Source organism: Homo sapiens, chromosome 4 (assembly GCF_000001405.40).
Source record: "Homo sapiens chromosome 4, GRCh38.p14 Primary Assembly".
NCBI classification, from domain to species: Eukaryota; Metazoa; Chordata; class Mammalia; order Primates; family Hominidae; genus Homo; species Homo sapiens.
The window spans coordinates 175,943,700-175,967,202 of record NC_000004.12 but is presented as its reverse complement, the minus strand read 5'-3'; the positions used below and the strand labels follow the sequence as shown (position 1 = coordinate 175,967,202).

The 23,503-nt window shown below is 36.3% G+C and overlaps 1 protein-coding gene and 1 long non-coding RNA gene across 5 annotated transcripts in view; both read left to right on the top strand.

Moving 5' to 3' along the window:
• GPM6A (glycoprotein M6A) overlaps positions 1-23,503 on the top strand; it is a 369,457-nt gene that overhangs the window by 35,191 nt on the left and 310,763 nt on the right. The gene's annotated exons all lie outside the window — the stretch shown is intronic.
• The window catches only part of LOC107984113 (uncharacterized), a 59,731-nt gene continuing 41,774 nt past the window's right edge, over positions 5,547-23,503 (top strand). The window contains exons 1-3 of the long non-coding RNA XR_001741924.3: positions 5,547-5,966; positions 6,444-6,459; positions 19,505-19,558. This is a non-coding gene — a long non-coding RNA (uncharacterized LOC107984113). The remainder of the gene's footprint in view (positions 5,967-6,443; positions 6,460-19,504; positions 19,559-23,503) is intronic.

The following is a 23,503-nucleotide window of genomic DNA, read 5'->3' as shown; positions in this document are numbered from 1 at the left end:
CGTGATTTTTATTCTTTGGCTTTGTGATGTGATGGATTACATTAATTGATTTTTGAATATTTAACTAGATTTTCATACACTAATAAATCACTTTTGGTCATGATATATAATTCTTTTTATACATTGTTGGATTTGATTTGCTAATATTTTATTGAGGATTTTTGTATCTAGGTTTGATATTTGTTGTAGTTTTCTCTTGTGTTGTCTTTGTATGGTTCTGGTATTAAGGTAATACTGGACTTGTAAAATAAATTAGGAAATATTCCCTCCACTCCTATTTTCTGTAAGAGATTTTAAAGAATTGGTTTCTTTCTTAAATATTTGGTAGAATTCAATAGTAGACCCATCTTCATTTGCTGCTTTCTGTTTTGGAAGGTTATTTATTATTGATTTAATTTCTTTTATAGATATAAGATATCATAATCAGTTCAGGCTACTACACAAATTACCACAGACTGAATGACTTAAACAACAAGCATTCATTTCTTGGTGTTTTGGAGGTTAAATATCCTAAATCAGGATGCCAGCATGGTTTGGTTCTTGGTGAGTGTCCTCTTCTTCATTTAGAGAGGGTGGTCTTCTTGCTTGTCCTCACATTGCAGAAAGAGAGCTGCCTAGCTCTCTGACCTCTTGTTATAAGGGCACTAATTCCATTCATGAGAACTCCACCTTCATAATCTAACTGTTCCCAAAGGCCCCACCTCCACACCTCCAAAGACCATCATACTGGGATTAGGCTCTGAATATATATATATAATATTTTGAAATATATATATATTATATTATTATTGTTATTATTTGAGACAGAATCTTGCTCTGTGGCCCCAGGCTGAAATGCAGAAGCTCCATCTCAGCTCACTGCAACCTTCACCTCATGGGCTCAAGAGATTCTCTCACCTCAGCCTCCTGAGTAGCTCTGACTACAGGCACATGCCACCATGCCTGGCTAATTTTTGTATTTTTAGTAGAGACAGAACTTCACCATATTTTCCAGGCTTGAACTCCTGAGTTTAAGCAATCCTCCCACCTCTGCCTCCAAAAGTGCTGGGATTACAGGCATAAGCCACTGCAACAAGCCTGAAAATATAAATTTTAAGGGCACAAAAATGTTCATTTCATTGCAAAGGTCTACTTAGACTATTAGTTTTTCTATGTGTAAGTTTTGGTGGATTGTATCTTAAGGAATTGTTCCATTTCATTTTGGTTATCAAATTTGTGGGCATAGAGTTGTTTGTAATATTCCCTTGTTAGCTTTTAAATGTCTATGGATTCAACAGAAATAGACCCTCTTGGCCAGGCGTGGTGGCTCACGCCTGTAATCCCAGCACTTTGGGAGGCTGAGGTGGGCAGATCACAAGGTCAGGAGTTCGAGACCAGCCTGGCCAACATGGTGAAACCCCGTCTCTACTAACAATACAAAAATTAGCTGGGAGTGGTACCACATGCCTGTAATCCCAGCTACTAGGGAGGCTGAGGAAGGAGAATCTCTTGAACCTGGGAGGCAGAGGTTGCAGTGAGCCAAGATTGCACCACTGTGCTCCAGCCTGGGAGACAGGGTGAAACTCTGTCTTGGAAAAAAAAAAAAAAAGAGAGAAATAGTCCCTCTTTCATTTCTGATATTCTGATTTGTTTCTTTTCTCTTTTTTCCTTAGTTAACCTAACTAGAGGTGTATCCGTTTTATTGATCTTTTGAAAGAACCATTCTATGGTTTCATTGATTTTTCTCCTTTGATTTCCTGTTTTCAATGTCTTGTATTCTACTTTAATTAATATTATTTTTTTCTGCTGCTTACTTTAGAGTTAGTTTGCTCTTTTTTTTCTAGTTTTCTTGGGTAGAAGCTTAAATGATTGAATTTTCTATCTTTCTTTTTTTCTAATATATGCATTCAATTATGTAAATTTTTGTCTAAGTACCAATGGTCTGTCTTTACGATTTATAGCTTTCTGTCCTTGATTTCTAGTTTCTATCCATTGTGGTCTGAGAGCATACTTTGTTTGCTTTCTATTCTTTTAAATTTATTAAGATGTGTTTTAGGACACGAAATGTGGTCTATCTTGGTGAATGTTCTGCGTGAGATTGAGAAGAATGGGTAGTCTGCTGTTGTTAGATGAAGTAGTCCATAAACGTCAATTAGATTCAATTGATTGTGCTGTTTTCTTCACTGCTTTTCTGCCTGCTCTATAACTTTCAATTGCAGATTGAGCAGTGTTTAAGTCTGCAACTGTAATAGTGGATTCATCTGTTTATCCTTGCAGTTCTTTGAGTTTTTGCCTCAGGTATATTGCTAATCTATTGTTAAGTACATGCTTATTAAGGATTGTTTTGTTTTCTTGAGAATTGACTCCTTTATCATTATGTAGTGCCTCTCTTTATCCGTGATAACCTTCCTTGCTCTGATGTCTGTACTGTCTGAAACTAATATAGCTACTGCAACCTGCTTTTGATTTGTGTTAACAATGTAATGGACTGAATTGTGTGCCCCAAATTCAGAATGTGTCTGTATTTGGAGAGAGGGTCTTTAAGGATGTAATTAAGGTAAAATGAGGTCATTAGGGTGGCCCTAATCCAATATGACTGTTGTCTTTATAAAATAGGAAATTAGGACACAGGCACACACAGAGGCAAGATCATGTAACGATACAAAGAGAAGAAAGTGGCCATCTTCAAGCCAAGGAGAAAGAACTCAGAACAAACCAACCCTGCTGGCACTTTGATCTTGAACTTCCAGAATTGTGGGAAAATAAATTTCTGTTGTTTAAGCCACCCAGTCAATGTGGTACTTTGTTATGATAGCCCCTGCGAACTAATATAGTATAGTAATGGTATTTCTTTCTTCATTCATTTACTTTTATCTATTTGTCTCTATAGCTGGGTGGGTTTTGTTGTTGTTGTTGTTGTTGTTGTTTGTTTGTTTTTGGACAACATAGAGTTTGGTGTAGTTTTATGCACTTAGTCTCTCTCTTTTTTTTTGAGTGTATTTATACCATTGGCATTTAAAGTGATTATTGATATAGTTAGATCATTATCTATCATGTTTGTTACTGTGCTATTGTTTTCTACTTGTTGCCCCTGCTCTTTGTTTCTTTCTCTCTCTCTCTTTTTTTTGTCTTCTACTGTTTTTCTGTCTTTTCTGGTTTTAATTGAGCATTTAATGTGATTTTTTTTTCTTCTCTCTTACCATATCAATTATATTTTTAAAACTTTTTCTGAGTGGTTGCCATTGAGTTTAAATATATATTTTCAATTAATTTCAGTTTATTTTCAGAAGACACTCTACCACTTGGCAATACTATATTACCACAGATAGGACAAGTCCCTTGTAACTGATTATTCCAAATTCCTCCCTCTTATCTCTTATAACATTGGTGTCAGTCATTTCATTCATCCATGAGATAAAATCATCGAATACATTGTTGTTATTATTTTGAACCAGCTGCTATCTGCTATGTCAATTAAAAGTAAGAAAAATAAAAGATATCATTTTACCCTTATTTATTCCTTTTTTAAAGCTCTTCATTTCTCTATGTAGATCCAGGTTTCTGATCTATATCATTTTCCTTCTTTCTGAAGAACCTCTTTTAAAGAAGCGTCTACCAGCACAAACATCCTCAATTTTCATTTTTCCTGATAAAGACTTCACTTTTGAAAAACAATTTTTTCTAGGTGGGTGGGTTTTTCCTTTTAACAGTTTAAATATTTACTACATTATCTATTTTGCTTGCATGGTTGTAGAGAGAAGTCTGATATCATTATTTTTACTTCTCTCTGGGTAGGCTCACCCACTCTCCACCCCAACCCGGCTTCTTTCAAGATTTTCTCTGTGTTTTTGAATATGGTTTGCCTAGATTTCATTTTTTATTTTGTTTTGTATTTATCCTACTTGGTGTTCTCCGAGATTCTTAGATTGGAGGTTTGGTGTCTGTTATTAGTTTTGGGAAATTCTCAGTCATTATTGCTTCAAGTATTTTTTTCTGTTCTTTTCTCTCCCTCCTTCTTGAATTCTCATTATAAATATGTTACAACTTTTGTAATTGTCCCACGTTTCTTTGATACTCTATTTCATTCATTTTCTTCTTTTTACATTTCTTTTTTGATGTTTCCATTGACTTTTTTTTCAAGCTTACTGAGTTTTTGCTTGCCTCTATTCAATCTATTGATGAGCTTATCAAAGGTAGACTTCATTTCTGTCACTGTTTTTGATTTCTAGCACTCTTTAGATTTTTTTCTTAGTTTCTGTATTTCTGCTTACATTACCCATCTGTTCTTACATGCTATCTGCTTTATCCATTAGAGTCCTTATTAATCATAGTTGTTTTAAATTCATAATCTGATAATTCTAAAATCTCAACCATATCTGAGTCTGATTCTGATGCTTGCCCTGTCTCTTAAATTTTGTTTATCTTTTAGTATGCCTTTCAATTTTTGTTGAAAGTAGGACATTAGACACTGGGTAAAAATAAATGAGGTAAATAGGTCTTTAGTGTGGGTTTTTTTGGTCTGTCTGGCTAGGAATTAGGCCGTGTTTACTAGTTTCCTTTGCTGTAGGTGCCATAGGCTAAAATATCCTCAGGTGTCCGTGTTTCTATCACCTCAGTTGTCTTCATGTTTCCCTAGAAACCAAAGTAGTAATGAGTACAGGAGGCTGCAGAGCAGAGAGTACAGGGATGTCCTTTCTTATAGTCAGTCACTGCTGGGAAGTGATAGGCAGCTGTGACTTCACTTGCGCATTGGAGAAGCAAAAAAGGTTGCCTTATTGTCCTAGGTTGGTGGCAGGCTTGCTTTTGCTCCCACTTGGGAGTGTTCTTGGTGAGGGTGGAGTGGTCTCTCAGCAACAGGGAGCTAGATGAAGGAGTCTTAAGAAGCTGATGTTCAGGAGTGGCCACAGGACCCAGTAAACTCACTTTTACTTCTGGTGTCTGTGGTGTTGAAAAGGCATTTGAGTTTTCAATGACATATAGGAGGTCAATGTTCTCTTGTTCCACCATCATGAACTGACTCCAATACTCCAGGGGCAAAGAAAGCAGGTGCTCGATCACCTTGGGTTGATGCTTGATGTCCTGTAACATTGTCACTGGGTCCGGATGGTGCACAGCATGGGCTACTATTGTAGGGCCAAAGACTTTAACCAGATTGGCAACATCTGGTTCCCTAGAAATTTCTTAAGTAAGGCCTGAGACGTGAACATTTTCAGTTGTGCTCCCCTGTTAATATACAAGAGCCCTATTGCTGTGGTGGTAAGGTTGGGTGAGGGGCAGCACTGTCCTGTCCTGTCCTGTAATTAGGACTCAGTTTTTTACTGAGCCTGTGCCCTTGGGCTGTAACTTTGCAGGTACCTTCCCTGCTTAGGTGAAACAGGAAGGCTAGAGTGGGCTGAAATTGAGCCTTTCCCTTCTTCGAGGTTGGGTAGGCACTGGCAGAATATTTTCCCTTGAGGGTAGGTCTTGCTGAGAACAGAAAGCTCTGGTGTTTTTCGAAAGAGCTGCTCTCTCACTCTCCACCCACTCACACATTGGAAGCTATAGGCGATTTTTCTCTGATCTTCTCTGTGAGAACCTGGTAGGGCTCCTGAAGGTAGAACTCCGAAAAGTGTGGGGACCTCCTAGGAAGGCCCCACTGGGAGATTTTAATTCTCAAACTTGTCCAAACTGAGTCTCCAGCAATTCATAAATTACAGCTTTAGATTTCAATCCCAGTACTAGTTCCAGCAGAGATTTCTGCTCCAGGGAATTGGATTTCTGTGTCTGCTTATCTGTCTCTCCAGTTTTTGGGGGGTGTCCATTTGTCTCAAGACCTCAATTCTCTCATGGACCTAAGAAGAGCTGTTGATTTTTAATTTATTCAGCTTTCTATTTGTTTTTAGAATGCAGTAGTGACTTCTGAACTCCTATATGCTGGCCAAAAAAAGAAAATCAGTTTTATTTTGATTTTTGTTGAATGAACATTCTTCTTTAAAAGTAATCTAAAGGTGAGTTTTGTAAGCATTTTGAAAATTTGCATATTTCGAGAGGATGATAAGTTTCCAATAAAGGGATTTGTATGCAACTGATGAGTGATAACCAGATAATAATGTTTGCAACTGACAGTCCATTAGCTCAAAATGTGTTTTGTATTGTCAGCTACATTTGAAGAAAGTTTCGGTTAATAAAGTTTCAGAAATTAGCACATTGGTATGCTGAATATTATTGTGTAACATAGACATTCTTGTGCATTAAACAGTATGTCCTCATCAAATTACATTATTTGCTTTTGTCCCTAATTCATAATGGAAAAGTAGCTATGTCTTGGAAGCAACTATCATTCTTCCAAAATTGAAACAACTTCATATTTTAAAATACCATGAATTTTGTATATCCTGATGTGGCATGTTGTGGGATTAGTCATTGCATCACAGAATTTTAGAATTTGAAGAGATCTTGTGTAATTTTGTTTTCATATTTTACAGATCATGTCTACAGAAGGTAAGTGTCTTATTTAGGGTCAGAAGCTAGTATGTGGGATAATTATATTATGATAGCTTAAAATGTGACTATCAGTATTGGTCTTAAAACAGATTTAGCTGAACAATGAGAATACATGGACACAGGGAAGGGAACAACACACACAGGGTTGGGGGATGGCGGAGACATCAGGATAAATAGCTAATGGATCTGGCGCTTAATACCTACGTGATGGGTTGACAGGTGCGGCAAACCACCATGTCACATGTTTATCTATGTAACAAACCTGCACATCCTACAAGTGTCCCAGAACTTAAAATAAAATAAAATACAAATGTAAAAAATGGGACAGATTTAGCCCATCTTGTTCTTATTTACTTCATCAGGGGATTATCCTATAGTGGAATTTAGAATTATGAGCTTGAAACTCTGAAGGATCTCAAAGCAATATCTGACTCACCACAAAACAGCTAAATTCTATGCCTAGAATCCTAGTTTAATTTTTTTATTTGCTTATATAACAATTATTTGAAAATTGACTCCAAGTATGTCAAGTTTATTTTAAAAAGTTTAATTCAAACACATTGGTCCCAATTGATGTGACTTAACAGGAGCTTATTTAAGAAAACAAGTCAGGACATTTGTAAATTCCAAAGTAGAATATTTGACTATGATTTGGTCCTATTCAATGAGGATGCTACTTAGTGACGATGTAACCATGGTTAATTTACTTAACCTCTTTGTGCCTCAATTTTCTTGCTTGTAAAGTGGGATGTGGATAATAGTTTCTTTCTCATAGGGTTATTTTGAGGATTAAATACATTTAATGTATAAATTGCTTAGAACAATGTCAGACAGTAATTTCCTAATTAATATTAGTTACTATAATTAAAGAGAACAGATACTCAGACTCTTAGGATTTGCATTTTCAGCCCTCCTCTATTTATAACCCTTTGTAAAACCATCCTGGACAGATGATTGGCCATTTCTATATTACCTCTAAAATAGTTCCTTTCACTCTACTAATTTCATATCAATATGTTTGCATGTGTGTGGAGCGGGGCAGGCAGTGGTGGAGAGGCAGGAATGTGTCCAGTGAATTTCAATAATTGACTCTTTTGTCACACAGAGTAGCAAAGCCTAGTCTTAAAATTTATTGTGCATACATCTCTAGTGAGTGAAGTAGCACAATCCCCACATCCCAGTTCTCCTAAAGCTCTGATGCTCTTCTCATCCTTTCTGTTATCTTCTTCTTAGGTAATTTTAAGTAAGCCTCTGTAATTGCAGCAGTCACTGAACTGTGCGTATGTGGGGTGTGTGTGTGTGTGTGTGCATGTGTGTACGTGTGTATTCAGGATCATTTCTAGATGCATGAGAGGTTATTAGATGGCAAGCATGCAAGGATCATGTGCAGTACCTGAATCATAATGTGTGAAGCTGGCTGTTCCCTGAGCTCTCATAATGTGTATAACGTTAAGCTGTGCAGAATGAAGATGGGGACATGACTGTTTATAAAATGTGAATATAGAGAGTTCCCATGAGTTCCTGGCCCCATCTACCCAGCGATTTTGAGGATAGTTACTTTTATAATTGTTTTGAGTTTCCTTTGAATTCTTGGCAAAATCTCTGTTTTTAGTCACTATTTCTTGAATTGATTTTGTAGAATAATTTAGTTTTCCTTCCGTCTACTATTCCTACCTATATTGTAACTATAGGGTTTTTAAGTGTTTTTGACAGATTCAGTGGAAACTGTTTTTTAAAAAAACCTGGGATTCCAGGCAATTTTATTGTATATTCAGACACTCATTATGTTCTTCATTCATTTTTTACATTTGCAGGTAGGTGAAATTCAGCCTTCATTTGAAGACAACAAATTCCGGTTATGTTTGGTGGGAATGGAAATGGATCTGAGTAGCTTTTTGTAAAGGCAGCAGTAAGAGTGTAAACTGTGATTTTGTTGAGTGAAACCAAAAAGGTTTCTTTTAGTGTAAACTATGCCTCCTTTTGGAAACCTTAGTGCTGTGGCAATGTAGATAACACAGATGTGAGTAGATCACACCCTAGTTTATTTCAAGATGTGATCTAGATTCAGGCTTAATGGACTGCTAATATACACTCAAAGTGTCTAGAGGCAAGCATTCTCCAGAGACCTCTAGAGATCTGAGGAAACTTGTCCTCCTGGTCAATGAATGGGGGGAAGACCAATACCTTTGTTTAGAATACAGTTTTAGCCATTTTTACATGTCACCCTATCAGTTAGCAATTGAATTTAGAGACAGATGTTGAAAGTGGCTTTATGGTTCTCAAGGGTAGTGGCTTTGAAAATACACTTCAAATACAATCATAATTTGCACATCTGTAACCTAATGCTACAGAGTGGAACAGTAAACATGCCTCTGAATCAACAGTGGTTTCCTAAACTTTGTGGAGATTTTATTCTTTCATTGGCTACCATTTAAAAAGTACTTTGAAGGTGAATGATGCCATTCAAGTATTTTATATGGCCCAACTAATATTTTACAGGAAAGCAAAATAGGCAATGCTCTCCAGCATTCACAATTACTTGGAAACAGGCTGGGCATGGTGGCTCACGCCTGTAATCCCAACATTTTGGGAGGTTGAGGTGGGCGGGTCACTTGAAGTAAGGAGTTCGAGACGGGCCTGGCCAATATGGTGAAACACCATCTCTAGTAAAAACACAAAAATTAGCCAGGCATGGTGGTGGGTGCCTGGAATCCCAGCTACTCGGGAGGCTGAGGCAGGAGAATTGTTTGAACCCGGGAAGTGGAGGTTGCAGTGAGCCAGGATTGCACCATTGCACTCCAGCCTGGGTGTTGCAGTGAGACTCCGTCTCAAAAAAACAAAAAACAAACAACAAAACAGAACAAAGCAATTACTTAGAAACTGTGAAATATCGGTGATATGTTAGGATTACAAGTTACATTAATGTTACAAAGGTAGGCACAAACAAAAATTATGATGTTTTTATAACTTTATTTTTTGTCTTTATTTACTTATTTTTTATGAGAACCTACTATTGATTTTTTTAATATATATACTTTAAATTCTGGGATACATGTGCAGAACGTGCAGGTTTGTTACATAGGTATACACGTGCCATGGTGGTTTGCTGCACCCATCAACCGGTCATCTACATTACGTATTTCTCCTAATGCTATCACTCCCCTACCCACCCACCCACTGACAGACTCTGCTGTGTGATGTTCCCCTCCCTGTGTCCATGTGTTCTCATTGTTCAACTCCCACTAATGAGTGAGAACATGTGGCATTTGGTTTTCTGTTCTTGTGTTAGTTTGCTGAGAATGATGGTACTGTAATCATCTTGTTGCATGCCTGGTACATAAATACATGGTAGGGACTTACCTATGAATTTGTTCAATTAAAGTGTAAAATAATTAATGGACTTGAGAGCAGGTACCCTTGTCGTATATGGCTTTCTTACCTGCCTTTGCTCTTAGCTTAGTGTGAAGCACAGAATTTTTGTTCAGTAAGTGGTGTGGGTGGAGAAGAACTGATAGAAACCCACTGAGATAAGAGGCTGTAATAGTGGGTAAAACACACCTGTTCATGTGTTGTAACTTCATTTGCCAGCCTGCTTTTAAGCCTGAGCATTCAGTCTGAACATTTCCAAGGTGCACATTCCGAAAAACTAAGGGTGTTTTTGGAAGCTGTTCTAGTAAAAAAATATATTTTTCTGTCTTTTTCCCTACGCTTATATGAACAATTGCTAAATATATTTTGATAGGCTGTATTTTGATAGAGAATATTGAGTAATTTCTGTTTACTTTCCCATTGAAATATTGTGAAGTAATCTCTGACTATATGTACTCTAGAATACATAGTTTATTTTATTCTCATGTTTATATTAGAGAATAATGAATGCCTTGACATTCTTACTTGTACCAAATTGTCCTTATTCTCCAACTCTATTTAAAAATGTATTTTTCTTTCTTAAAATACAATTGGGATTAAAATTACATTAAATTGTTCAGGGACATAGTATTCAGTTGAAATGAATACTTAAAAATTTACAAATTAGAATTAGAGGAGGGATTAATCAACTTTCTTTTGTACCTTCCAATTGAGCTGAATCAATTGAACACCTCTGTGTACTTTTTAACTGGTAGATGGCTTCTTATCTCATTGAATCTTCAACTAAGTACTTCAAAAATTTTTATTTGACTGAGAAATCATTTGGAATTTGACAGAACCAAATTAAAACAGCTTAACTATTGGTTTAAAACTTACTGTAAAACTGTACTTACCAGAGATAACATAAATTTGAGTATAAACAAATAAAAAGAAGAGATTAAAAATAGAAATAGTGATATGAATTCGAGCAAATGAAATATAAGTAGAAAAATTAGGTGACGCTTTGGTGAGATTCTTACACAGAATTTGTATTGTTAAGCCCTACATTTTATTTATTGATGGCTCAAAAATTATCTATAATTTCTCTAACATCCATCAAAAGAGGGAAAGTCTGTTGTCCATAGGATAAAATGAAGACAGAACATGTGTCTTTCTGGTATATCCAAGAGAAATTTGGCTAATGGCTCCTCTAGAACAGGAATTTTTAAATTTTGATGACCAATATCCTCAAGAGGTTCTTCTAATGTATATTGTAGAGCATTCGGTTTTGTACGACGCACGTGCACTATGGCGCCCATCCATGGAATTCTGTGGGACCTATTTGGGGTTGCCCTAGCAGCATGTTGGTATTTTACAACTGGGTCTCTGGTGAGGGTTCAGCCCTTACCCGAGTATTTGTCTATTTTCAAGGTGTAACTATTTCCACAAAAGCTAATTTTAACGTCACTGAAGGCAGAGCTGGAAAGAGATACACACAATGGGCTCTCCATAGACCATGAGAGCCAGCTCCAGCATACTACCATGTCCCCAGTCACAGCTCTCCAAAACCCTGCTTCATACAACACTGGATCTAGATGTTCAGGAATGGATCGTTTACTCATTACAGTGATTGAAGCAAGCTCCATCAGTAGAAACAGATGGAGCCAAACAGCTTTGTTTTGGCTGTTGTTACTGCTTGGAATGAAGTTATTCCTTATTACTGATTAAGAATAGAGCCAAATGATGTCACAGTCAGGTGAACCAGAGATAGATTGGATACTCATAAATAAAACTGAAAACCTGAAAATAAATCTTCCTGAAAAGATTTTGTCTTACCTCTGTACTGATGAAAATATATGATAGCTAACATTGTATTTGAACATGTGATACATACTGGACACTATTTTTAATGCTTTACATGTATTAGCTTGTTCCAGTCCTACTAAAATCCCAAGAAGTGAGTATTTAAGCTAGAAACTTATGCAGCTGGGATTTAAATGTGAGTTTCCTGGTTCCATAGTCTACCATTTTCTATTTTTGTAAACATATTCTATATTTGCTATTGAATATTTGTTGAATAAAGCAAAGGACACCGCATATTGAAATAAGCTACCCCTTCAAATGAACTTACTAGATTTTCCTTTCTCCCATGGACCCCAGTAACAGGTGTGGTATGTGGGCTTGTTGGAACAGATGGAATTGCTTCTCATCTCCAGCACTGGCTTGAAAAGTCCAGAGGTCAAGTGCAGGCTTCGTCCAGCCATGGATTATCTATGTGGCGAAGGCCAAGGGACTTTTCTTCCAGGTATTGTGTTTTGGAGAATAGGGTGATTCATCTCTACTTCTCAGGACTCTTACGAAAAATCATGGAATTTGTTTTGGATTCTCAAGTAGACACAGGGTGTTTTATCTGTGTTTGAGGTCATTGTCTGGTCCTTTGACTTAAGTATTATTAGGCCCTCACAGCGCCTGTAGTACCTTCTCAGCACTGCTGTTAATTTACTGTAGTCCCTGGCTATCTCTCTTTTGTTCCATTACTACAAGGTTTGGCTGTTTGCCATCAGGCAGCCAGGGTAAAGTTCTACTCTTGCCCTAGATATGTAGAAAATACTCCAAGTCCAAATCATGTTTAAGACCCATGGAAAAGACAGATATGAGGCCCTGTGAAAGGGATGTAGCTGGACTACAAAGGCTAAGACACGGGTGCAACCTCACTGAAAGGAAAACAGAAATGATGACTTCCATTGTCTCTCCAGAGATGGTCTAACTCATCATCTCAGATTCACTCCTCTTTAGACCTCTTAAGACTTTTGCTTTGGCTTGACTCTTCGGGTGGAAAAATGATAGACAAAACTCAGTGTGGTATATATTATTTGCTAGCCACTGTCCTCAGTACTCTACACATTTTAATTAAAACTCTAATAGTGTTTTCATTTTTCAGGTGAGGAAACTGGGGCACAGAAAGACAAGGAAACTCATTTAAGCTTACACAGTTCTAAAGTGCTTGAGCCGGGTTTCGCACTGATACAACCTAGCCACGGGGGCCACACCCTTAGCCACTAGAGCTGTGCTGTCCAGTAGAACTCATGGAGATGATGAAAACGTTCTAGATCTCTGTTGTACAATACCAGAGCCTTAGCCACAAGTGACTGTTGAGCACCTGGATTGTGAACAGCACAACTGAGCAAAGGCATTTACATTTCATCTAATTTTAGTTTATTCAAATTGAAATAGCCACATGTGACTAGTGTCTACCTTCTCAGACAGCTCAGCCCTAGACTATACTGCCCTCTAGGAAAAGTCAAGGTATAGAGCGGGCCAGGAAGAAAAGCTAAGGACATGTAATTGAACAAATTTCTATCACCCAGTGATCAGTGCTGTCAGCATTTCTCAGGACTGTAAAAAAAAGATGTTTTTTAAACCAACTGGGTTAACATTTCTAACTCAATTTTAATAGTTCCCATGGTAGTTATTTTATTTTATTTTATTTTTTGATATGGAGTTTTGCTCTTGTTGCCCAGGCTGGAGTGCAATGGCACGATCTCGGCTCATCACAACCCCCACCTCCCGGGTTCAAGCAATTCTCCTGCCACAGCCTCCGAAGTAGCTGGGACTACAGGCATGTGCCACCATGCCTGACTAATTTTGTATTTTTAGTAGAGACGGGGTTTCTCCATGTTGGTCAGGCTGGTCTCGATCCCGACCTTAGGTGATCCGCCCACCTCGGCCTCCCAAAGTGCTGGAATTGCAGGTGTGAGCCACTGCGCCCGACCTCCATGGTAGTTTTTATATACATTATAAGTCTGCCATGTGTCCTGCAGAACTCAAAGTTGTGTAATGTGTCATAATAAACAAAGCAATAATACTATATTAACTAAAAATAATGACATGCAAATATCAATTAAATCCCTGCCATACACTGCTTTACAGGCAATTGGCTACTCTTTTTGTGGTTAGAAAGTGCATTCTTCCTAATTCTTTGTACTACATATCTTAAAATGGATACAGTTTAGGTCTGCAAATGCTATTTCCGGAGTCATTTTCACATCTATTACACAAATTACTTTCCCTTAGACTACTTCTCTGTGGAAAATTGTCATGATACAGCCGAGGTTCCAACACAGTGTATTTATAGGTTTTTCAGCTTCAAAAACTATCAAATTCTTGGAACAGTTTGATATAGAATAAAATTTCCCTGCCCTTTGATTTCTTTATTTGTTTTATAAAATTTAGGATTTTAGATATGTAGAATGCATGCATGCTCTATTCTTGAATCAAAGTAGAACATTCCCATTATTTAACTTTTAAGGCAAGGGGATTTCTGTTTTTCTTTTCTTTTTCTCTCCTTTTTTTTTTTTTTTTAAAAACAGGGTCTTGTTCTGTCGCCCACACTGGAGAGCAGTAGTGTGATCTTGGCTCACTGCAGCCTCTACCCACTGGGGTCAAGCAATCCCAAGTAGTCAGGACCACAGTCATGCGCCACCATGCCTAGCAAATTTTTATATTTTTAGTGGAAATGGGGTTTTGCCATGTTGCTCAGGCTGGTCTTGAACTGTGGGGCTCAAGGGATCCTCCCATCTCAGCCTCCCAAAGTGCTGAGATTACAGGCCCAAGTTCCCATGCCCCCACCGGATTTCTGCTTTCTTTGGGCATTGTAATACACCAGGACTGGACTCATTGGTGGACAGGATGGCTCATTATCTATTTTATTATATGATTTTGTGGGCTCTGGGACAAAATGTATTACAAAAATTTTCAGGAAAGATGTACACAAAAATATCTCTGGAATGAGTGAATGGATTAATGCTTTCTAATATTCCTAGTTACATGTTGCTTAAATGGAAGAATTTAAAATTTTTTCTTACAACAATCCTTACCCTAAGAAGGTGGAGGTACTGTAGCCTCCGCTCCTTGTTACAATGGGCAACTGGGAAAATAACTGAATAATATGTTAATTCCATTGCTTTGGGGACATCCATTCTGAGATCACTACCTTAAGCTACAATCCATCATGGGAATCCATTATGCAGCTTAGAACTCCACTAGACTCCTTGGACATCTAGCTTTGAAGTGTACATAGAAACGAACTTCTCCTAGCTTCTTAAGGAATATAGTATCTTAACTTGAATATTTCAAACATAAAAGAATGTTCTCAAAAGTCAAAGACTCTCAAGAGTCAAACAGATTTTTGACTCTTGAAAAGGAAAGTTTAGTTACTTGTCTCTGAGGTATTTGTTTTAGTTACTTGTCTCTGAGATATTTGGTCACCTGGGCCTTGTAATATCACTGTATTAGTCATGGTTCTGCAGAGAAAGAGAATCAGCAGAATGTGTGTCTGTGTGGAAGGAGATTTATCATAAGGAATTGACTCACATGATTATGGAGGCTGGTGAGTCCAAAGTCTGCAGCATGGCTGCCAGCAGGCTGCAAGCCCAGGAGAGCCGATGGTGTAGGGAAAGTTGGAAGGTAGACTGCTGGAGAATTCCCTCTTGTTCAGAGAAGCTGGTCTTTTTTTTTCTATTCAGGCCTTCAAGTGATTGAATGGGGCCCACCTCATTATGCAGGGCAATCTGCTTATGAAAAGTTTACCAGTTTAAGTCTTATCTCATTCACAAACACGCTCCGCATTAACCAATACCATTAACTACCCAGGTAATATAAATGTGAAGAAGCCTTGACTTGTATAAAGCTATATAATTCTGGGATAAATCCAGATATTTTTTCAGAAAATTGTTGCAATTCATTCATATTTCTTATTAGCTATTACTTATTAACTGTGCGTATTCTAGTTGCTTTAAATGCCTAAAGCCTCATTGCTTCAACAGCCTTTCAAGGTAGATGGTATTCCCCTCATTTTTAGTTAAGGACACTGAAGCCTCAAGAGATTATTTCGCCGTCAGAGGTAATGAGGATGGAATCCAGAAATTTCGGACTTATAGGCCAGTGCTTGTCCAACTCTATCCTCTCTCTTTCCTTTTCTGTCTGTTCATGGCCTAATCATATGGACATCATGGGAATCAATATCTATTTTTACTGTTTTATCTCCATCTTCACTTCTATATCCACAGATTTAAAAAATCATAATGTATGGTTCTTCCACCCATTTTTCCTACTAAAAGTAGTATTTTCACATGAAATACTATTTATAAAGAAAAATGGCTTGTTACAGGGTCAGTTGGGCAGATAAGCATCTTGAGAAGGTGACGTTTTTCATTCCATGGGGAGTTCAGTAGGCAGGATGATAGATGAAGCTTTCCAATTATTTATCGACGTGTTGTATTTAAGAGTAGTAATTTCTAGGTTGCAGAGATGAAATTCCCTTTCCCAGTGGTCACTTGGAATGGGTGGCATTCAGTATAACAGAAGCCTGAAATAACCAAAAAGGCTTTCTAAATATTCATGGGAGAAAAAAAAAAGTCTTACAAATACTATATTTTAACATTTAGTATTATCTCTGCTCCTGTAAGTATTTTTAGTTTCAGAGCTCTACTTTCTTACTCAACTAAATATTTTTGATAATTCAGAAATTAACATTGTTGAAATTATGGCTGATAATTTCTGTAGGAATAATAGAATTCTTGCTATTAATCATTTAAGGTGACAAGAAATATCATGACATTTAGAACTATTGTGTGTCATTTAAAAATACTTTCATGAAAATAATACATTTCTCTAAATGTAAGTGAGGACTTTGTCCCCTCATTTCCCCTGCCAGCACACTCAGGCACAGCAAAAAATAGCACTGCCCAATCTGTTGACTGCAGCAGATTGTCCTAGGTTCTTTTGAGAGTAAAGTTAAATGTAAAAACTCCCCCAAAGCTACTTTTTTCCACTTTTGAAGCACGTTTCAATAACCAGACATCATCTTGCAATTCCTTTCCTGGAAAGTCATGGTTAAACCTGGAATATTTAAGTTTTGTTGAAAGTTGGAAATAATTCACAAGTATTATATTCTTATTTTCACATTTCAAAATTATATCCAGTTGTATAGAACATATTATGTGCTTGGAATGTCTTGTCTTAGGAATCAATGGCACTTTTGTAATTATTTTAATTAATAAAGCCATTAAAATAATGTAAAAAAATTGAATAAAAATAAACATCTATTATGTCTCATTGAGACTCTGTTAGACCCATAGCTAATAAAGTTTTATTTATTCTTTTCTAATGATGTAACTACACATCTGCATTTGGATGGGCCATAGAGTTCTTAAAATATCACAATACAGTAGAAAGAAATATATTAACTTTGTCAAAGTGTATATAATTTTGTTTCCCTTTATATTCATTGCAAAATGAATTGCTTTCTTAATGGAGAACTTTGTGTGCTTTTAGGATTTTTTGAGGGTGTCCTTACTTTATTTTCTTTACAAAAATGTTTGTGATCCATTGGTGTTTATACATTGTCTGATTACTAAGAACTTTATCTTTCTTCACTCATGAACTTGTAAAATTTATTGAAAATATGTGGTGAGAACTCATAAGGCTACAGTGTTTATTTTCTATTTGGTTTCATGAATTGTCATCCAAACAACTTAGCGCAGATATCAGACAATTTTTAAACAAGCTGTTGACAATACCATCTATTCAAGGAATGTACTAAATGTGAAGAATGAACAAGACTGTAAAGCCTGTCGGTTCAGCTTTATCTTTTTCATGAGTTTAAAATCAAACTTCTGAGGACTCTGAAAGTATCAGCCAAAGACAACCTCATTTATTTACTGATTTGAAGGAATCTTTACTAAAGTTAGCTCTTGATAAGAAGATGCAAGGAGTATTAGCTATGGTTCAGCTTAACAGCCCTTGATTATTTAGTTTCTTAGATAAAAAATCAAACAAACTCATATTTGTTTTACATAAAATATATGCCAAACACAGTTAATGATGATTTTAAGATGTAATGTAAAATTTATATTACTTTGACTTTTGGTCAGGTGTTGTGGTTAAGGTCTGTAATCCTAGCACTTCGGGAGGCTGAGGCAGGAGGATCACTTGCAGTTAAGAGTTCAAAGCCAGGAGTTCAAGACTAGCCTGGGCAACACAGCCATGAGACCCTGTCTCTACCACCACCACCAAAAACAACAACAAAAATAAACAAACTTGACTTTTAGTGAAAAAACTTTCCCAATTGTTAAAAAAGGATATACATATTTTCATTGCAAACAAATGAGAAATTACATAAAAACATAAAAAGAACATTAAAATTACTTCTTATCACACTACCCATGGATAACTCCTTTTGATATTTCTGAGTATTTCTTTTAAAAATATTTTGTGAATGTTTAAGTTAGCTACTCATTTTAGGAGCTTTTTTTGATTTCTTAGTTGCATGGAAGGGAATTCAACTGTGGGAAAAGAGATATCCAAATCTACCTCATCCCTCCACCACATCCCCCCAACACACACACACACACACACACACACACACACACACTTACCACCAAATGCAGTCTTGTTGGTAGAATAAGAAAAGTATCTCATCTTTATCAGGAAATTATTGCTTGTTTTCAAGGATCTATGGCATTTTAATGATTGTTCTTTGCTCAATCTAGTAACAATTGATAGTAAGTTAGTATTAACATTGTTATTTTACTGCGTAGGGGCATGAGTCCATAGCATAACTTTGTGGCCAGTGTTTCAGGATTCCTGCAGAAGGAAAAGACAGAATCACAATTATAATTCTTCTCACTTCCAGTTAGCATTTTCTGATTTCTTATGTGGTTGTATTAACCCATATGATATATTTGTGTTTTTGAGTTACGATAATGAATTATATAAAGTTTGATGGATTGATCATAATTTTAGAGTTCAAATATTCAAAAGTCAAACAATGTAAAGGAGGTAGAATCAGATGTGGCATCTTAGTTTGGACTGCTGTAACACAATACAATAGACTGTGGGGCTTAATCAACAAACCTTTATTTCTCAGAGTTCTGGATGCTGGGGGTCCAAAACCAGGGTGTGAGCATGGTCAGGTTCTCAGCGAGGGCCCTCCTCCCGGCCCACAGATGGCCATCTTCTCATTGTATTCTTCTATGAAGGAAAGAAAAATCATTTCTCTCATGTCTTTTCTTATGGAAACTAATTCTATTTATGAGAGCTCCACCCTCATGACCTAATTACCTCCCAAAGGTCTCACCTCTTAATACCATCACTTTGAGGGTTAGGATTTCAACATGTGAACTTTCAGGGGGACACATCCTGTCTATAACATGAGGGTATCATAATATTGGAGCAAAAAATCACAAAAACATGTCCTCTCTGTAGCACTTATTAAGCTGCAAGTATTATCTTCAGGTGTCCTCTGCATTTACTAACTCTGAAATGGGATGTGTTTGGAAAACACATTGCTATTGCTATTGCTATTGCTATTGCTAGGTGCTATGTTGGCATATAGTGTTGCATAGAAAAAAAGTAGGGCTTTGTTCCTTCATTCATCTTTTTATTCATATATGAATGCATGCATACATTCACTAATTATCAAGTGCCTACTGTGTTCTAGGTATTTTACTAAAAAATCTAGAATATGATGAGGAAATTGAGAACACAATATTTTCATATTTTCTTTGAAAAAAGTAGTGAGGAGACAACATAGTGTACTTGAAAAATATACTCAGCCCTCAGTAGTAATATTGATTGTGCAATTAAAATGTCGGGTGTCTTTGGTTAAATTATTTGTGTTTTTTTATTTTAGCTGAGTGATCATAGTTCCTGCTCTATTAGCCATTCATCTGGAGAAACAAATGAGGTAATGAATGCAAGAACATTTGCAGAATACGTATTACAACACAAATGCTCATTATTATCAGGAATAACTTGAAAATGCATGTGGGATTTATGATGTGCTTTTATAATATTTTATCTTGAAGACATCATTATTTTTGAGTTCTTCAGACTTAAGAAATATTATTCTTAAGAATATTACACTTAATAAATATTATTCTTAAGAATGTTAGACTTAAATATTATTCTTAAGAATATTAGACTTAAGAAATATTATACTTAATATTGTACTTAAGAAATATTATTAAGATAGTGTCTTTAAATGACTTTCTTCAGTCGAAGTTTTCCCTCTAGTGGTTGCTGTGGAAATCACAGGAAGATTTTCTAATGCTAAATGTTCAAATGGAAAATAAACACATAAGAATTGAAAAACGAATAGCCAGAATTATTGAGGAAATTCGAGCTAGTGTTTTTTTTTTTTTAAAGACTCTGTAGTTAGATTTTAAAATTATATAACAGCACTCAGTTTCTGAAAATTAGAAAGAAAATTATTTGGTCCTTTTATGGCATCAAATGGATTTTAATGAAGATGATGATTAATATATCTAGGCTTGAAGAAAGCAATAAGAAAGCCACACACACTTCATTTCATCCTATAAATGAAGCATTTTCAAATGCAGGCTCTTAAATGATTTTGCTTTCTTTTTTGATCTGGCTTCCAGTACAGCAGTAATCTCCAGTTTTGGCTTCCTCTCAGGAAGTTGAGCAGAAGTTGTGCGTGAATAAGCATATTTTGGTTTTTCTTAAAGGCACCTTTCTTATAAATCACTCCCCAAATCAGAAACACTGAAATGTGATGGTAGGATAAAGGCATTTTAAAAATCCAAGCCCCAGAATGCTCTACCAGGCCCCAATTGTCTGTCCTCTGCCCACCTCTGTAGCCTGGCATCGTCCTGCCCTGCCCTTGCCCACAGTGCTTGGGCTGCTGCCATCTTTATCCCTCGGACACTCCACAGCTGTGCTTGCGGTTCCCTGTTCTTGACATGCTCTGCCTCACATCGCTGGCTTCTATGGACCACCTGCCTCAAAAACGTCTTCCCTGACCCACCTAGAAAAGTAGGCTTTGACAGTTCATCTTCATCACATCACCCATTTATTCACTCCAGAACTCTTACCATCATCTAAATAGTGTAATTTATTTTCTACTAGTTTTTGTCTGTCTCCCTTAGAAGAATGGAAGCTACATGACACAGAGATTTATGCATCTTTTCATGATTGTGACCCAGACCCTAGAACAGTGCTTCACACAAGGCAGGTGCTTGATATTGGTTGGCACAATGAATAAATGAATGGAAGATGATAGGAACATTAACTAATCAGTGTTATTTGTTTAAAAATTTTCCTGAAACACTCAGTTGTTTTTGGTGCCTTGTCTTAGTTGATACTCAATTTGTAATCTTTGAAATAATTTAACTTCCTCATTAACTTTACATTCGAATGAAGTTTAATTTTTTTAATTTTTATAAATTTATAGATTTTTTATAGATTTAGGGGGTACAAGTACTGTTTTGTTACGTGGATATACTGCATAGTGGTGAAGTCTGGGCTTCTAATGTAACTAGCATCCAAATAGCGTACATTACACATTTAGTCTTCTAAGTCTCCAGTGTCTATTATTTCACTCTCTATGTCCATTACTTATATGTGGGAACTAAGTAATATGCACCCGTATTACTTAGTTATAAGTAATATGCACCCGTATTACTTAGTTGTACGTAATATGCACCCGTATTACTGAGTTGTACGTAATATGCACCCGTATTACTGAGTTGTACGTAATATGCACCCGTATTACTGAGTTGTACGTAATATGCACCCGTATTACTGAGTTGTATGTAATATGCACCCGTATTACTGAGTTGTAAGTAATATGCACCCGTATTACTTAATTATAAGTAATATAACTTACAAGTAATATAAGTTATATTACTTATAACATATATTATAACTTATATTACTTATAAGTTATATTACTTGCAACTTATATAACATGTTTCTTATAAGTTATATTACAACTAAGTAATATGGGTGCGTATTACTTACAACTAAGTAATATGGGTGCGTATTACTTACAACTAAGTAATATGGGTGTGTATTACTTACAACTAAGTAATATGGGTGTGTATTATTTACAACTGAGTAATATGGGTGCGTATTACTTAGTTCCCACTTATAAGTGATACCAGGTGGTATTTATTTCTGTTTCAGATGGGGTTTTAAAAAGTTTTACAATTCTTTATAGAGAAACTCTACTATGGAAACACTAAATTAAATATTTGTTTGTACTAAACAAGAACATGATGCTTGTTCATCTCCTTTAATAAATTCAATTAGATTACACAGCTTATCTAGTGATACGTGCAGTTTCTTATATCTGTACAGTAAGAAGTTATTCCAGAAATTAAGATTGTTTTTCTGAAATTTATATTGTTTCATTCTGCTTTGTTTTCCGTAGTGAGATAATTGCTGTTCACACTCACGTACTTGGCTTCGTCACAGAGTCTTTTCTAGCCTCAATGAATAATTTTTTTTAAAAAACACCCTTTTCTCAAAAGGCTTACTTTTTAAACCTTTAATCAGTTTTGACTGATCTTCTCCTTTGAAACTGCTCTAATTATTTCTCATACCACTTGATGGTTTGGGGACCGAAAAAACAAAAAACAAAAAACAAAAAAATGTACATGAAGACTAATGATTCGAGGTCTCTGAAACTGAGACGTCTGTATTTATGTCTGTTGAAGACTGCAGTCGGTAAAGCCTACAAAACGCATTATTAGGAATAGTGTTGCGCTGGTTTCCTTTGTATTCATGTCTGTTGCCTGCTAATCTGAATTTGTCGTCCATGCCACTAAGAGTCAAGCAGTTTTGCTGAAAATTTGTGGCCAAAAGGCAAAAGCCAGAAACTGTAGATTTCTTACTTGAGTGTTCTGCTCCGTCATTTTCTTCATACAGCCCTATGAAAATGAGGGAGATGTGCAGAGATTGTAATGGTATTCCCCTGATAATACTGTTAAGAGCTGTATGCTCTCCATATGTGGTAATAATCTGTGTCTGTTCTGTCTTGTACGTGTGTGTATATGTTCAAGGAATAATGTATTTTAATCTATGTAAATGAATGATAAGAATTGGAATAAAAATCAGTATGCATTTTATAGATAGTTCTGTTTATTACAAACACTTAAAAAGAAAGATGAAATGCAGCTTATCCCTGACTTACTCGGGCTGTTTCCTTTTGCACTCATGCTTTCCTGCTCTCGTTACCATAGTTACTGGTTTAATCATGATGCACAGAACAATTTCTAATTACAGTATATGCCAGCACAAAAATTAATTCTTTGCATATCTTAGGCCACAAACAGCTTGTAGCTTGTTTTTTGGCACTTTATTACCACATATAATGAAAAAGACATTGGTACATAATTTTAAATCTATTATTGTCTGCTACTTGTTATCGAAATGAAAATAAGCTTCTAGAAATGGTTAAATTTCTGAACATTGCTCTCAAGACTAAACCAGGAAGAAGTCAAATCCATGAATAGACCAATAACAAGTTCTGAAATTGAGGCAGTAATTAATAGCCTGCCAACCAAAAAAAGCCCAGGACCAGACAGATTCATATCCGAATTCTACCAGAGGTACAAAGAGGAGCTGGTACCATTCTTTCTAAAACTGTTCCAAACAATAGAAAAAGAGGGACTCCTCTCTAACTCATTTTATGAGGCCGGCATCATCCTCGTACCAAAACCTGGCAGAGACACAACAAACAAAGAAAATCTCAGGCCAATATCCCTGATGAACATCGATGCGAAAACCCTCAATAAAATACTGGCAAACCGAATCCAGCAGCACATCAAAAAGCTTATCCACCACAATCACATTGGCTTCATCCCTGGGATGTAAGGCTGGTTAA